Source organism: Homo sapiens, chromosome 5, assembly GCF_000001405.40.
Source record: "Homo sapiens chromosome 5, GRCh38.p14 Primary Assembly".
NCBI classification, from domain to species: Eukaryota; Metazoa; Chordata; class Mammalia; order Primates; family Hominidae; genus Homo; species Homo sapiens.
In genome coordinates this window covers 135,200,965-135,215,663 of record NC_000005.10, presented here as the reverse complement: position 1 = coordinate 135,215,663, position 14,699 = coordinate 135,200,965, and the positions used below count along the sequence as shown (strand labels likewise).

Below are 14,699 nucleotides of genomic sequence, written 5' to 3'. Positions count from 1 at the left end.
TTTGAGACAGCCATGCAGAGGGAGACATGGAGGGGCCAGCTAAGTACCGGAGTCCCACAGGAAGATGCAGGCATATCCAGCCCTATGGTCCTTCAGGATGTTATAGGGCACATGTCTCTCTCCACAGCCTCCTTTAGTTCCTCCTTTTAACTCTTCTTATGAGGCGATTTCACAGGGAGATTGCAACATAGAGCTGCTTGCCACAGAGTCAGACGTCTTCCTGCATGAGGGAAATCTGTCTTCTCTCCCTGAGGAAACAGAGGAAGGAAGCCTCAAATCTGGCAATGGGGTTTAAGTGTAGACACTCAGGAGAAGTCCCTGGCTCTGAGGGTGGCAGGCTGAAAGGCTTGGGTAAGCAGGAGTCTGGGCTTCCCTTCCCCTGGGGGTTTCTGAGACAGGGTAAGATAGATGGCTATCTCTGGGGATGCCTAGAATCCAGTGCTGCCAAGAGGTAGGGGACTGGACCTGAGGAACCGAACCGAGAGGCTCCCTGCACCCAGGTGACTAAGTCATAGTCACAGGAACTCTATACACCCAGTAACAATAGCTCCATTCACCAAGTATTCCCAGGCACAGCGCTCAGGGGCTTCATCCACACTCCTTCCTTTGATTATCGCAACAATAGCCCTTGGTGAACACTAGTCCCAGGTGAAAGATACAACACTAAGGCTCAGAGAGGTTAGGTAACTTACCCAAAACCACACAGGAAGAAAGGTACACTGCTAGGATTCAAACCCTTACCTAATACCAAAGCCCACACTTCTTCCTCCCCCTTCTCCTCCAACCCCCTCCCCACTCTAGCATTTAATTCTATTTGAGAAGAGCCTGGTACTAACGTGCTGTTAGAAATGTTAATAACGTGGGCTATGGGCAGGGTAGAAAAAATCTGTAGCAGCATTTCAATACAAATTATAAATATAGTAAAACTTATAACACACAACTGCATCCCACAGAAGGAAAATTCAACTGCTCATTAGCAAAAAGAAAAAAACCTGGGAGAAGAGTCTGTAAGAAGCATACCTTTGTAGAAACAGAGAAAAGATAAAGCTTTGTGTATAGTTTAAATATATCTAATACATTTTGCCAAAGCACCTTTCAGAGATGCCGTGGCCATTTTCACCTGCATTACATGAGGGTTCCTACCCCCACATCGTCACAAACAAGAAAGTTCTACCGATTTGTAAGAACTCTTGTATATTCTTCATCTATCATATGGTACAAATGTAATTTCTCTGTCGGTTCTTGTCTTCATCATTTATTCTTTAGGTTCTTTTTCTAGATTTTAACTTTAATAATCTAGCTTACAAATTAGCATAAATTTATACTTTAAAGCAAAAATCAAGGAATCTGTCACCTATAAAGACAACTTTCTGCAGGATTTTAATTCTACTCTCCATGGTTGACAAAGCCACCGTGTCTGGGGAGTGACAGGTGAGGACCCTCCAAAGGGAAGCGGGTCTGTCCTGGGGCTCACCTAGAGTGGCTGTGGTGGCCAGTGGGTAAGTGCTCCCAGGAGAGACAGCCGACACCTGCTGTCCTGCTGGCAGGGTCCTGGAGCCAGCTGCTGCTGCTTGACCTTCGCATCAGGAGGCCCCACAGCTGCAGCCAGTAGCACAGCACCCAAACAAGAGAGCCACGCAGGAACCTAGGTAGCTAGCTGCATCCTCCCAGGGATCACACCCCGTTGAGAGGCAGCTCCATGCTCACTCCAGGCCTTCACCCAACCCAGTTCTTTGTCACACAGACACACACATGTGCCCAGCACATCTCCAAAACAGCAATGATCCAAATGAGCCTGTGCAACTCAAAGTTGCTCACAGGTCTCAGGATGGAGAGCAGGGAAACTGAGCTCCCCGGCCTTCCCTACACCCCACGAGAAAAGAGCCAGGAGCCAACAGCAGGCCTTCCAAACACGCTTTTCTTCCCCCTCACCCATGTTGTAGGACAGGGGTACCAGAGACACACTGAGCAGCACACGCCCATCTGTCCCCAAATTGCTGCAGAGGGGCCACGTCGGAGGGCTCCCTCCACAGCACCCACCCTTCCCTCTGCGTCACCCATAAGACTGCAGGGGGCTGCTGCAGGGGGATGAGACCTTCGAACACAGGAGCAGGCACTGGGGTGAGACCCCCACAAGTTTTGCGGAAGCAGCTGCCTCTGCCTGGGACCTCAGAGGTTACAGGCAGAGAGGGCTCGGCGGGTGACAGGTTCTGATGCCCCCCAGAATGTGACCTACCCAAGGACCCATTGCTTCCTGGAAACAGGGCCTCTGAAGCTCCCCTTTGACTCTATAGCTTTTTGTCTCTCCCCTTCCCCATGCTGCCCGGCTATGCAAACAAAGGCATGTTTGGGGGAAGAAGGGCGCTCATATTTAATAACCCTCAAATCGGGCTCCACATGTGGCTATTGTTAGGCAGATTTAAACAGCAATTACAGAGGTACCTCCTTCCTCCTCAGCAACAACCTAGGCCCTTAATCCAGCTAAGACCCAGAGAGTTTAGGGCTGAGCTCACTGAGATGAAGGTACCAGCTTAAGCGAGGCCTGCTCAGGACTGGGGGAGCTGGAACACAGACAACGGCCCTCCCTAAATTTACTCCTTCTTGCCAGCCAAAAAAAAAAAAAAAGTGGGGGTGGCAGTGGGGGCTGAAGATGGGGTTGCCTGGCTGAAGTATCTGTGGTAAACTGGCTTCCAGAGAACTCACATGGAAAGCTGCAGAAACGTTTGGACCAAGAATTCAGAAAGGAAGGCAACATGCCCCCACAGGAACCTCGAGCTCAGGCTGAGGCTGGGGGATGGGGGCTCCTCCTTCTAGAACACTTCGTATTCAAGGCTGCCAAAAGTCTGACCAGAGTAGAAAATAAGTTTCCACAGGGGAAACGTGGTCAGGGAGTGAGGAGAGGGTTTACAGAAAGAGGCCAAACAATGCACTGTGAGCATGCCAGCTGCGTTTCTGTCCCCTGCCCTCCTCTCTGCTCCTTCCAGTTCCCCAGCCAGAGGTGCCCTCCCCACCCTGCACTTGTCTCAGTCCCCCACTTCCCATCAGGCCCAGCTGGAAGGTTCTTGCTGCTGCCCTGGAGCTCAGGCCTCCTGAGATGGTACGCACACCGACTGTGCAGGGTTGTGGAGCTCACAGTGCTGATGGTTGGACCTTTGAGCCACCAGGTTCCTCACCCACTTGGGTAAAGAGGCACTGCAAGACAGAAGGCTGTGACTTCTGTCAGCGGGCCTGCGCTGGCTCCATCAAACCAACCTCCACTTTAAGAAGCAAGTCCTTCCTCCTTGTCCCAGCGTCAGAGTGGGGAGTGAGCTACCCACCACTGGAAGCCTTCCAGCCGGAAGACCCCTCGCACTGTGGACATCGCAGGACACTGCGTGGAGGCTGGAGGAAGCCACCACCTCTAGCTTTGAGGGCCTATGACTAGTGAATCGGCATCTCTCCAATTACCATCCTTTCAACCCTGGATTTTCTCATCTAAGTTTTCTGAGTATTATTTGGTCTGCCTTATCACAAAACAATAATGAAAACCATTTGGTGTCAACTGTAATCTTGGATCAAGGCCCAAGCCTGTTGTTGGTCTAGAGAGGCAAAGGAACTGCAGCCAGCCTTCACTGAGCACCTCATCCCGCCAGGTAGCACCATGGTAGAGCTAGAGGTGAAGGCAATGGCTTTGGACAGCACAGACCTGGACTGGGATTCCAGCTTCACCACCTAGCAGCTGTGCGACCCTGGGCAAGTTACCTAATTCTCTAAGCTTTCATTTCCTCCTCCACAAAGGGAAAATAACAATACAACACTAAGGGGCTGCAGAGATGAATTCAGTGAGTGTGTGCAGCCCTGCACAAAGTTGTAGTTCAGGACCAGCAGCATCAGCATCACCTGGGAACTTGGTAAAAATGCAAACTTTTCACCTTAGACCTACTCAATCAGAACCTCTCGGGGCGGGTCTCAGCAATCCCTGCTTCACAAGCCCTCTGGGTGATTCTCACGTACACTGTAGGTTGGAGAACCACTAAGCTGTGTGTGGAAGGTGATTAAGAACTGGCATCTGCCACGCAAGCTACAGTCACAACTGCAAGAATCGCCATCTGCCCCTCCTGTCTCCCTGGAGACAGGAGGCTCAGAAAAGTCAAGTCACTTCTCCAAATTCAAACAGCTAGAACCCAGGCAATGTGACTGCTGGGGCCACAGCCTTCCCACCACACCCTGCTGTCTTCCATTTAAAGCTCAAATCCTAATGCGGAGTAAGTGCTGAGGATGTTCTTTACAGGGCTAAACAGAGGCGAGTGTGGGTAATAGTTGTAAACACTCTATCACTCTGCAGGGAAAGCGAGAAGACTAAGAATAGAAATCATCCTTCCTAAAATATAAGGATGCAGAGCCTCTCAGGCCAGAGATGACTTCATTTCTTAGGAATAAAGGGCACTGGATACACAGAGGGTTCTCCAGGACACAGCTGCTGGGTACTCTTAGGAATGCCCAGGCATCTTAACAGCACTAACAGTAGCTATTTGAGCTATCGATTTCTTTAGTACTTTTCTAACACAAAATGGAAAACACAATTATCAGCTAGTCATGAACTTTGTGACTTTCTCTCCAGGTCTCAGTTTCTCCATGTGCAGACAGGGGAAGCAGTAAGCACCCAAATGCTCTATAGCTTGAGGAAGTGCTGTTTTCCCCTTCCCCATCTGCAATTTGGGCTGAGGCCTCCTCCCAAGGACAGGGTCTCCTTAGCTCGCACTGCACGGAGTCCCAGTGCACTGTGCACCTACTGTGTGCAGACCACTGGTCACATCCGCAGCAAGCACTCATATAAGCCGGAGCCCCAGGCTGACAGGGAGAGAGAAGAGTGTGTCGGTATCTGGGAAACCATTTTGCAGAGAACTCACAGAAACCAGGACCACTGCTGCTCTGCCTCCATGCCTCATCATGTCATCCCAAATTAAAGACCTCTGTGGGCTCTTTGCTTTCAAGAGGAAATTCAAGCTAAATTTAATCTGCCTCAACACCCTGTCTGGCAAGCACTAGGCCCCCAAAAAATGCTTTTATACCAATGCACATAAAGCGATTCACTCACGGTACACCCACCCCCAAACTCCATAAAACCCTGCTGGCCTTATCGGCCCCTGCAAAGCTCCTACAACCACAAGACTGGCACACGGCCTGCAATTCCACCAGGAGCTGCTCTTAGCTGGCCCTCACTCACCACACTCTAGCCACACTGATGGTTTTTAATTCCACAAGGAAACCAAGCTCTGCCCCTACCCCAGAGCCTCTGCAGCATGCTAGTCCCTCATCTGCACTGCTCCTCACTTACTGGGTTCCATCCCAGTCTTTACGCCTCAGCTCAAGAGTTACCTCCCAAGAGAAGCCACTGTATCCAGACTAGGTCCCTCTATCCCATTTGTTTAATAGCACTCTTCACAACTTGCCATTGTCTTTTAGTCTCTTTGTGCTTTATCTGACTATCCTTCCCACTCTAATGAAACAGCTCCAGTAAAATGGGCACCATGTCTGTCCTGCTCACCCATGTATTCCTAGTACCTGGTACGCTACAGGTACAAAATAAATGTTTGTAGAATGGGTGGGTGAATGACTGAGTTCCCAGGGAGAGATATTAAAAATAATTACCATCATCCACAATGAATAGAGGGAGTGATGGGGTTCCCTGGTTGGGGAGGTGTGGATGGGGCAGGCAGGGCAGGCTCCTGCCTCCCTCTCAGAGACTGGTGGGACAGACAGAGAATGGCACCAGAAAACTCACCATAGGACCGATGGTGACATTCTGCCCTATCACTAGCTACCCCTGAAGAGGGCATCTCAAACAGCCTGTGGTCCATGACCACAACATGCAGGCCAGGGTCTGAGCCCTAAGGGAGGAGACCTTTCCCTTCCCAGCCTACCTGTACCTTCTCAAGGTCTGCTGTGGGCCAGGGTCACTGGTGGGAGATAGGGAAGGGCACCCTGGAGAGTACAGCAGCCATCGGCACCATGTTGACAGGCCCCAATGGGAGCCTGATCTCATCACGTCTTCCCTGCTGACAAAAATGCAGCTCCCTGGGTGGGGACACTTACAGAGAACATCAGACCCCATGCCCAACCCCCCATATAGATCCCAGCCAACATTTCCAGTTTGCGAGTTTCTCTAAGCAGATGTGTGCCAGACTGGGCTGGATTACCATTGTAACATTTGCCTTTCATGGGAGTCTAAGCTTCTCCCTCCCAGACTTAGATTTGAAACAAGCTGTGATGGATGTTCATGCTAATAGGAAGACTAACAGCTGGTCACCATTTATTTATGCAAAGAACTTCACGTGGGGAGAAACGTCTACATACCACATCATCAACTAGACACCATTCTGTTACCACGCACAGGCCTGCCGTGTGGGGCTTCCTGCTAAATTAGAGTCCTCCTGTCCCCATGGCTTCTCCTGCCCAGGGATCCCTCACTGAGGAGGAGATGAGGCTGAGGAGGGGGTTTCTCCTCGCATTCATGTCCTCACTCACTCCATGGCCCCAGGCTGGAGTATTTATATAGCCACATTGACTGCTTGCAGCCAGCGAGGTCCATTAGTAGGATGTAAACAGCTCTCAGCTCTTCAAAGGCCAGGGCCAGCCATTCTGTGGGGTCTGAGTCAGCCTGCCAGGGGCTCGCGTTTCAAGCCTTATTCATCTTCCTGATAACTTCCATAAAGGGCCAATGCTGCCTTCCTGGTGTGCTGGGCCTGCCAACAGCACCCCCAGTGGGATTTTCACAAGAAATTGGCATTCACTAAGCTCCTGCTATATACATAACTCTTTCCCAGTCACTCTGGGGAGGGAGAAAAGAGCAGAAAATACATTCACTATCTTTTAGGGCATAAGGCACATGTGGGTAAGAAATATTATGAGTCATCACACAGAAAACCCAACCAAGGGCAGAGTGACATCGGGAAGGGCAGGGTGAGCCAGGAGGGCATAGAACTTAGTGTCCAAGGACATGGGCCACCTCTAGAGAGCCTGGGGTTTGAATGCTAATTGCCTTTAACTGTGTGACCTCAGTCAAGTGGCTTAAACCCTCTGGGCCTAGGTTTTCTCACCTACAAAACGGAGATGACAGCAATAAGATTATGGTGAGGACTAAACAAAATGGTACATGGAGAACACTTAGCATGATGCCTGGAAGAGAGTAAGTGCTCAAGAAACATCAGCTGTGGTTCATTACAAGAGGAAGCTTTCTGGAGAAGGTGAGTTCTGAGCATTCAGAACAAGTGAGGAACACAGACAGACCCCTTCCCTAGCTGGTCATCTTGTCTGTGGGGTGGTGACATTGGCACACACTGCCTCTCTGATTCAGAGTACAGAAGAGGGAAAGACCATTTGCTGGTCTTCTAAGTGTGGACAAAAAAATCCACTCCTAAGAGCCACTCGGTCTTCCAGGAAAAACGAGCAATCCTATAGCAAATTAGCCCATGGAAAAGATTGCCCAAAAGTTCAGAGTCAGATTGTCCTTAGTCTGGGGTAGCCCTGTCGCTCGAGGAAGCTGAGCCTGGCCACAGCTGGGGGTCAGGGCACAGGGGTGGTGGGGCAGAGAGACAGTATGCTTCCTGGCAACACTCCCATTGTCATCACTGCAGAGAGGGGCTTGGAGGAGAGGAGCACCAGCCTTGCACTTTGAAACTGTTACTGGCTTCTGACTCAGACCAAAAAAACCAAACCAAACAAACAACTTCTTTGATTATGCTGGGAGCATGCAAAAAGAAAAACAACAACAACAAAAAGCCTTCGTCTCCTGGCCAGACTTCAAGTCAGAGCGTAGAAGGAATATCTGCATCTGTGCAGATTTTCACAAAGCACTTTCTCATCCTTTGTCTCAGGGTACCCTTACAAGGATCCAGGAAGGCAAGCAGAGAAAGCATGAGTATCATCTTCAGTTTGCAGGTGAAAAATTGGGGTTCAGAGAGGCGAAGGGACTTGCCCAAGGTCACAAGTGACAATGTGGCAAAGCTCAAACTCAAACCCAAGTCTTCCAGTGCCTGATCTAGTCCTCATTGTCTTCCCCACCTGACTCTCTTCCTACCAGTCCCAGCTGCCAAAAATCAGGGCTGTTTGGACAGATAAAGAATATATACAATAAAAAAAAAAAGCTTTCAGCCATGCATGAGACTCCATGGGAGCAAACGATATATTGCATATGGCAACTTCCTTCCCAGATGTTCCCAAGATGGCAAGAGAGCTCCCAGAGGGAAGACAACAAGTTCTCAAGAAGGAAGCAACTTAAGTTCTGCCAAGAGGGAATGGCAAAATGAACTACATCATGTTCACACTGTGGAACAGCAACAGCCACAAGAACAGAACAAGGCTGATCTTGATGTACTGGCACAGGAAGAACACTGGGGCACTGACGAGTAAGAGCCACAGTTGTGAATGAAGCATGCTGTATGATCCCATGGATATCAAACAAGCAATGAAAACAAAACCACATACTGTCTCTGGATTCATAGACACATACGTAAATGCACGGAAAAACATCTGACAAGACCCACCCTCTATCAGATATCTTCCACTTGCCCCTGCAGGGCCACGATCCACCCTCTGGGCCCCAGGAGGTGGCTCTATATGAACTGCATCAGTGGGCTGCCTTGCAGCACCAGCAGGAGACCAAAGGAAGGGGAGAGAATGAGGTTGGAATACTTACTAGGTTGGTGCAAAAGTAGTTATTTTCCCAGTCCTCCCACCAGGAGGTCTCCAAAAACTGGCCACTTCCCTCAGCCAAAGATTATGGCTCCTTTCAAGGTGCCCACACTCTCCTCTTCCAGGTTCTTGTTCTTTGGGCCTAAGGTGAGAAAGGCTTTCTGCTGTAGCAAGCCCTGGAGTGCCGCACTATGCTTTGTGGATTCCCCTGCCCACAACTTTACAATCTTGTCCTTATAGTAAAATTATCCTAGTTAGAATGTGCCATCTGTTTCCTCCCAAGACAACACTCAAGTTATCCACTGAGGGGGCAGTGGAGGAAGAGAGCAGCAGGCACTGGTAGCTGAGGCTTGGCGATCTATAGTGGCATTAGCCTTTGCAGTAATTATATGCTCGTGTGTTTACTTTGTATCATGGAAAATTTCAAGCACAGGCAAAAACAGAATAGCGTAACAAGGTCCCAGGTATCCATTTCCCAGCTTCAACAATCATCAATTCATGGTCAATCTTGTTTCAACCATGGGCCTACCCACTTCCCAGCCCTATATTATTTTAAGGCAAACCCAAGACATCGTATGTTTTAAATTTACAAGAAACTATATTTCTATATGGCCTGGGTAATTAAAATTTAATTAAAAACAAAAAGAAATTCTCAAAACTAGAACTTCTGATGGTGAAGAGACCCTGTCTTTGTTTTTAGATTTTATCCAGGCCAAGGCTTTCCCCCTCCTGTTTGCCCCAGAACCACGGCTCAGAGGCTGGCCAGGTGGCCCTGTTGGCCCCTTCAGTGGGCTGGGGGCCCAACTAAGACTGGAAGTCCTTGCCAACCTGTTTTGAATGTGGAGGATCTTGTTACAAACACAAAGCCACAGGAATACCTCCCATCTGAGCATCAGCTTCTAGTTTTCACCCAGCTACTTTTGTCCCTTGGTTTCCTTGTTTTGTTTCTACTTTTTATTGAAGGACAACTTTATACTTGTGAGATTCATTCCATATTGTTACATATAATTGTGGACTGTTTAGTTCCACTACGGTATAGTATTCCATAGTATGAATTTAAACCACAATTCACTTACCCATGCACTCTTGATGGGAACTTGGGTGGTTTCCAATTTGGAGCTATTACAAATGGTATTACTATGGACATTATACCATATGTCTTTTGAGGTTCATATGTATGCATTTCTGTTTGTTGTACACATAGAATGGAATGTCTGGGTCATAAGAAGACATATGTTTAACTTATCCAAAGCGTATGAGATTTCTGGTGTTCAACATCCTTGCCAACACCTGGGTATCTTCTGGGTTGCTTTGCTTCACTTTAGTCATTCTTGTTGATGTGTTGTGTCTCTCATTGTGCTTTTAATGCGCATTTCCCCAATGACTAATTAAGCCAAACAGTTTTTCTTATTTTTTGGCCATCTGCATATCCTTTTATGGAGTACCTTTTCAAGTCTTTTGCACATATTTCTAGTGGGCTGTCCTCTTTGTCTTATCAGTTTGTAAAAGTTGTTATATACATACACAAGTCACTTATCAGTTGTAGGTTTTGCAAGTATCTTCTATGCTGTAGCTTGCTTCTTCATTTTCCTAATGCTGTCTTTTCATAAGGAAAAGTTTGTAGGTTTAATGTTGTCTAATGTATAAGCTTATTTTCTTGTACGATTAATAGTTTTAGCAACTTGTTCAAGAAATCTTTGCCTATACTACTTTCAGTTGTTTTGAAGATTCCTTTAGGGAAAAAAAAAAGGCAATTATTGGAAATTGAGTAATAAAAGCCTTAAGAAACCCCTGATGGAGACACCAAATCAGCCACTCCAAGAAGGAATCAATATGTGGTTACTTCACTGGAAAGACAATCTCCTGATTTTGTGATTCCCTAGTTAGCAGCCACCAAAGCTCTTCTTAACTGTAAAGGTGAAGAGAAGGCGGCTCGGACAAGTAATCTCTACCAAGATACAAAATGTAAAAACTTTGACTATTTTTAATGCTTAAAAGAAAAGTACTAAATACTTAACAATATGCCAATGACCAGCTTCTCATAGATGAGAGCAGGAGTTCTTGAACCCTAAGGAATGGTAGAAAATGCTAGCATTAAAATTGAAATGACTTCCACAGGACAAGTGTTTTTACACAAAGGCGGAAACGACAGACACTGGGGTCTACTTGAGGGTGGAGGGTGGGAGGAGGGAGAGGAGCAGAAAAGATAACTATTGGGTACTACTGGGGCTTAGTACCTGGGCGATGAAATAATCTGTACAACAAACCTCCACGGCATGAGTTTACCTATGTAACAAACCTGCACATGTACACTCGAACCTAAAAAAATAAAATTTTAAAATAAAAATTAAAAATTAAAATTAAAATTATTTTTTAAAAGAGAAACAATTCTCTTTCCATAAGGGCCTCCTCTCTCCCAAGAGAGGTTTGCATCCTCTCCTGTAGGAAAAGATTTCTAAAATCTTCCACCAGGGGGCATTTCTCCCACTGAAAATAAGTGAAAACATGATCAACACATTCGGTGGTCTTACCAACACCAACTATATTAATCCAAGTAATTTTTAAAGCATTTGTTGAAATGACAAAGATTCCTTTGAAAACCAATGTTTTCACTGTTTAAAGAGCAATAAGTCTGAAAGGTAATGGTGGCTTCCTAAATCCAAACCACTTCAAACAGCTTAAAAAAAAAAATTAACATCAACAAAGGGGAAAAAACAACAAGCAAAAATAAAATCTATGTATGACTCATGTCTTTGTCATTACTAGGAGTCACATAATACTATGAATTCCAAATTACATTTCAGTAGAGAAGTACCAAATTCTAACAAAGCACCTACCATTACTGGAAATCTGTAGGTGTAGAAGGCAGGAAACGGGAGTCTTAAGAAATTCCATGGAAACAAAAGGAGGAGAGAGAACAAACAAGACAAACAGAATCACCCCAGAGAGGTACAGTACAGCACTAAATGCAAAATAATGAACATAAGTCTGGAACTTCGTAGTTTACAGTAATGGCCGTCAGGAAGGTACTTGAAAGTGAGTAGGGTCAGAAGTGACAATGTCAGAGAAGCACTGCTTTTGGGAAGAGAAGAAAATAAATAGAAAATAGGTGTCTCTTAGAGATATGGCAGTAAAGAAAAAGAAGAAATTAAGCATACTGCAGGGGAAAAAAAAGACAGAAAACAAGACAAGCCCTCCTACTCCCTCTATTCATTCAATAAACTGCACTTCATCATATTGACAGAAGAGGGCACTCTTGAAATAGGCACTCACCACAAAATGCCTAGGAATAAAGGGAAAACTCGTACTAACTCCACATTGTTATTAGTATTCCTCGGCTAATCAGTGGAGCTGATTTTTTTTTTTAAAGATAAAATATGCACCAAAACATTTCAACTAATTAAAATTCTCCCCCACAAAGAAAATCAACCATGAAGCAGAAGTAAACTGTCATGTAACATTCCAAACTGAGTTAAATATTATAAAATAAGTATTTGAATATTGTTTAAAAAAACTAGAATCAGAGATTTAAAACTTAGAAGAGAACCTTTTAAAATCAGGAAGAAATGCAATGGGAGTTGATCAATTTCAGGAAATAAATTTAAGAAAAAGACCAAAACTATTTCAGAAATGAAGAACAAATTACAATGTGCCCAAGAGAGAATAAGTTCAAATGAAAATTTAATAGGGAGCATTTACAAAGGTAGTAAAACAAAAACCAAATGAAAATGAATTGAGAACGAGGTTAAAAAAAATCAGCGAAAGTGGTTGAAATGGAAGGCAGGCAAAGATGAGCTAACCTATGTATAATTGGAGTCCATGAAGAAGAAAAATAAAACAATAAAATAGAAATATTTTGAAATATAACCCAAGAAAACTTTCCAGAAATAAGATAAATCCTAAATCAACATAATGAAAAGGTCCACTGTGTGGCTTGGAGAAATGATCTAGAATGAACAACTCTGAAACATATCCTAGTAAAACTACTAGATTTTTATGACAAATAAAAAATCTTCATGACTTTCAGGCAAAAAGGTCAAATTTTATTCTGATAAAAAATGTAGGCTGACCTCAGGCTTTCTAAGAACAACACACGGAATTGGGTAAGAGTGGAACAGCATTTTCAAGAAACTCTGAATCACCCCAGAGAGGTAAAAAGTATAGCACTAAATGCAAAATAATGAACATGAGTCTGAAACTTAGTTCACAGTACTGGCTGCCAGGAAGGTACTTCCTGGCAGTGAGTAGGGATTTTATAGTGAGTAGGGATTTTATATCCATCCTTCATCCAACCAAGTGATAACTGGGGGAGCTTCTGCAAAAGAACCGATAATCATTTAATACATTTAATTACAGAGCTAAGATTAAAACTAGGGTGGGGTCATGGTATCAGAAGATTCTGTAAATATGACATGTTCTGACAAAGTAGAAAGAATGTAATCTTAAAATAGTACCAAAGGAGAAAGCAAAATATGACCATTGATTGTCGTTTAGGTAACAGGTGAGAGTCAAAGGATATCATGTAAAACTGACAGACTAGATAGTAAAAGTTTAAGAAAGGGGAGAATTAAGGGCACTATAAAAGGTATAAATATGATGGCAACCACTAGATCAAAAACATAAGCCTTTCTAAATGCCAAAAGAATTTTTAGACAACAATGAAAATACATCAAATAGAGAAAGAAACTCAGTAAATAAAACAATACAATCAGCACCTCAGCATCCTACTTAATATGGAAACACTAGAGGTATTCCCACAAAAGGAAAGAACAAGGCACTTTTCCGCTATTAACATTGTGCTGGAAGTATTAGCTAACATAGACAAGAGAAAACAAAAGGAGGCTTGAGGATTAGAAAAGAAGACAAAAAACTAACTCTATTGCAGAGGACACAGTAATTTATCAAGAAATCCTAAAGAATAAATGATAAAACTCACAAGTTCTCAAAACATTTATTCTCAAAATTCCTTTACACTCTTAAAAATCAAGGACCTCAAAGAGCTTTTGTTTATGTGGGTTATATCTATTGATATTTACAGATTAGAAACTAAAGCTGAGAAAATGTTAAATATTAATTTTAAAGTAAGAATATAAATGCATATTTTTGAAAAATAACCATAAACAAAAACTTTCAGTGAGAAGAATGACAACATTTTACATTTTTAAATATTTCTTTATTGTTGAGCTTAATAGAAAACGGCTGGATTTTCATGTTTCTGTAGTCAATCTATTATGATAGCACACATTACATAGCCTCCAGAAAACTCCACTGTACACTTGAGAATGAAAGTTAAAAGGGAAAATTATGTCTTAGTATCATAAATATGAGAGTCTTAGTAACATGAAAATGGTTTTGACCTTGTGAATTCACTAGTAAAATCTCAGGAACCCCCAAGGGTACCCAAACCATATACTGAGAGCCACTGAACTAACTCAAACAGTAAAATATTCAGCAAGTCAGTAGGACATAAAATAAACACTAAAAGTCAGTGGCCTTTATAGGCACAAATAATAACTAATTATAAGATGTAAACAGAAAAGAAACTTCCATTTATAATAGCAATGAAAATAATAAAATACTCAGAAATAAATCTAACAAGAAATGTTGAAAACCTATACAAAGAAAACCATAACACCCTCCTAAAAACCATAAAAGTTGACTTGAATAAATGCAAAAGATACCCCTTGTTCATAGTCAGGATGTCTCATCATTAAATTAATGATATAAATTTAATTTATAAACAGTTATAAAATTACTCAGTTAATTTATAAACTTAATATGATGCCTTAAAAATTCTAAATGGCTTTTTTCTGTAGCCAGACAAGTTGATAGTAAGGTTCATATGGAAAAATTAATTTGCAAGAATTGGTAGGCGGGAAAACACTGAAAATGCAAAGCTCTAAGGAAGGAACCAGCCCTACCAGGTATTTTTAAATATTACAAAGCCTCTATAATTAAAGGTATGGTAATAGCACACAAAGAGACAGACCAGTGGAATCGAATCCAAAGACCAGAAATAAGCCCAA

The 14,699-nt window shown here is 44.0% G+C and overlaps 1 long non-coding RNA gene across 1 annotated transcript in view, besides 1 other annotated feature; it reads right to left on the bottom strand.

The window, feature by feature from the left end:
* PITX1-AS1 (PITX1 antisense RNA 1) overlaps nucleotides 1–14,699 on the bottom strand; it is a 311,407-nt gene that overhangs the window by 129,017 nt on the left and 167,691 nt on the right. The gene's annotated exons all lie outside the window — the stretch shown is intronic.
* Nucleotides 1,353–1,853: an enhancer, noted in NCBI's record as "H3K4me1 hESC enhancer chr5:134549501-134550001 (GRCh37/hg19 assembly coordinates)". NCBI's record gives its function as "activates a minimal SCP1, AML or CMV promoter by ChIP-STARR-seq in primed H9 embryonic stem cells {active_cell/tissue: H9 hESC(primed)}" and the evidence as "EXISTENCE:reporter gene assay evidence [ECO:0000049][PMID:30033119]".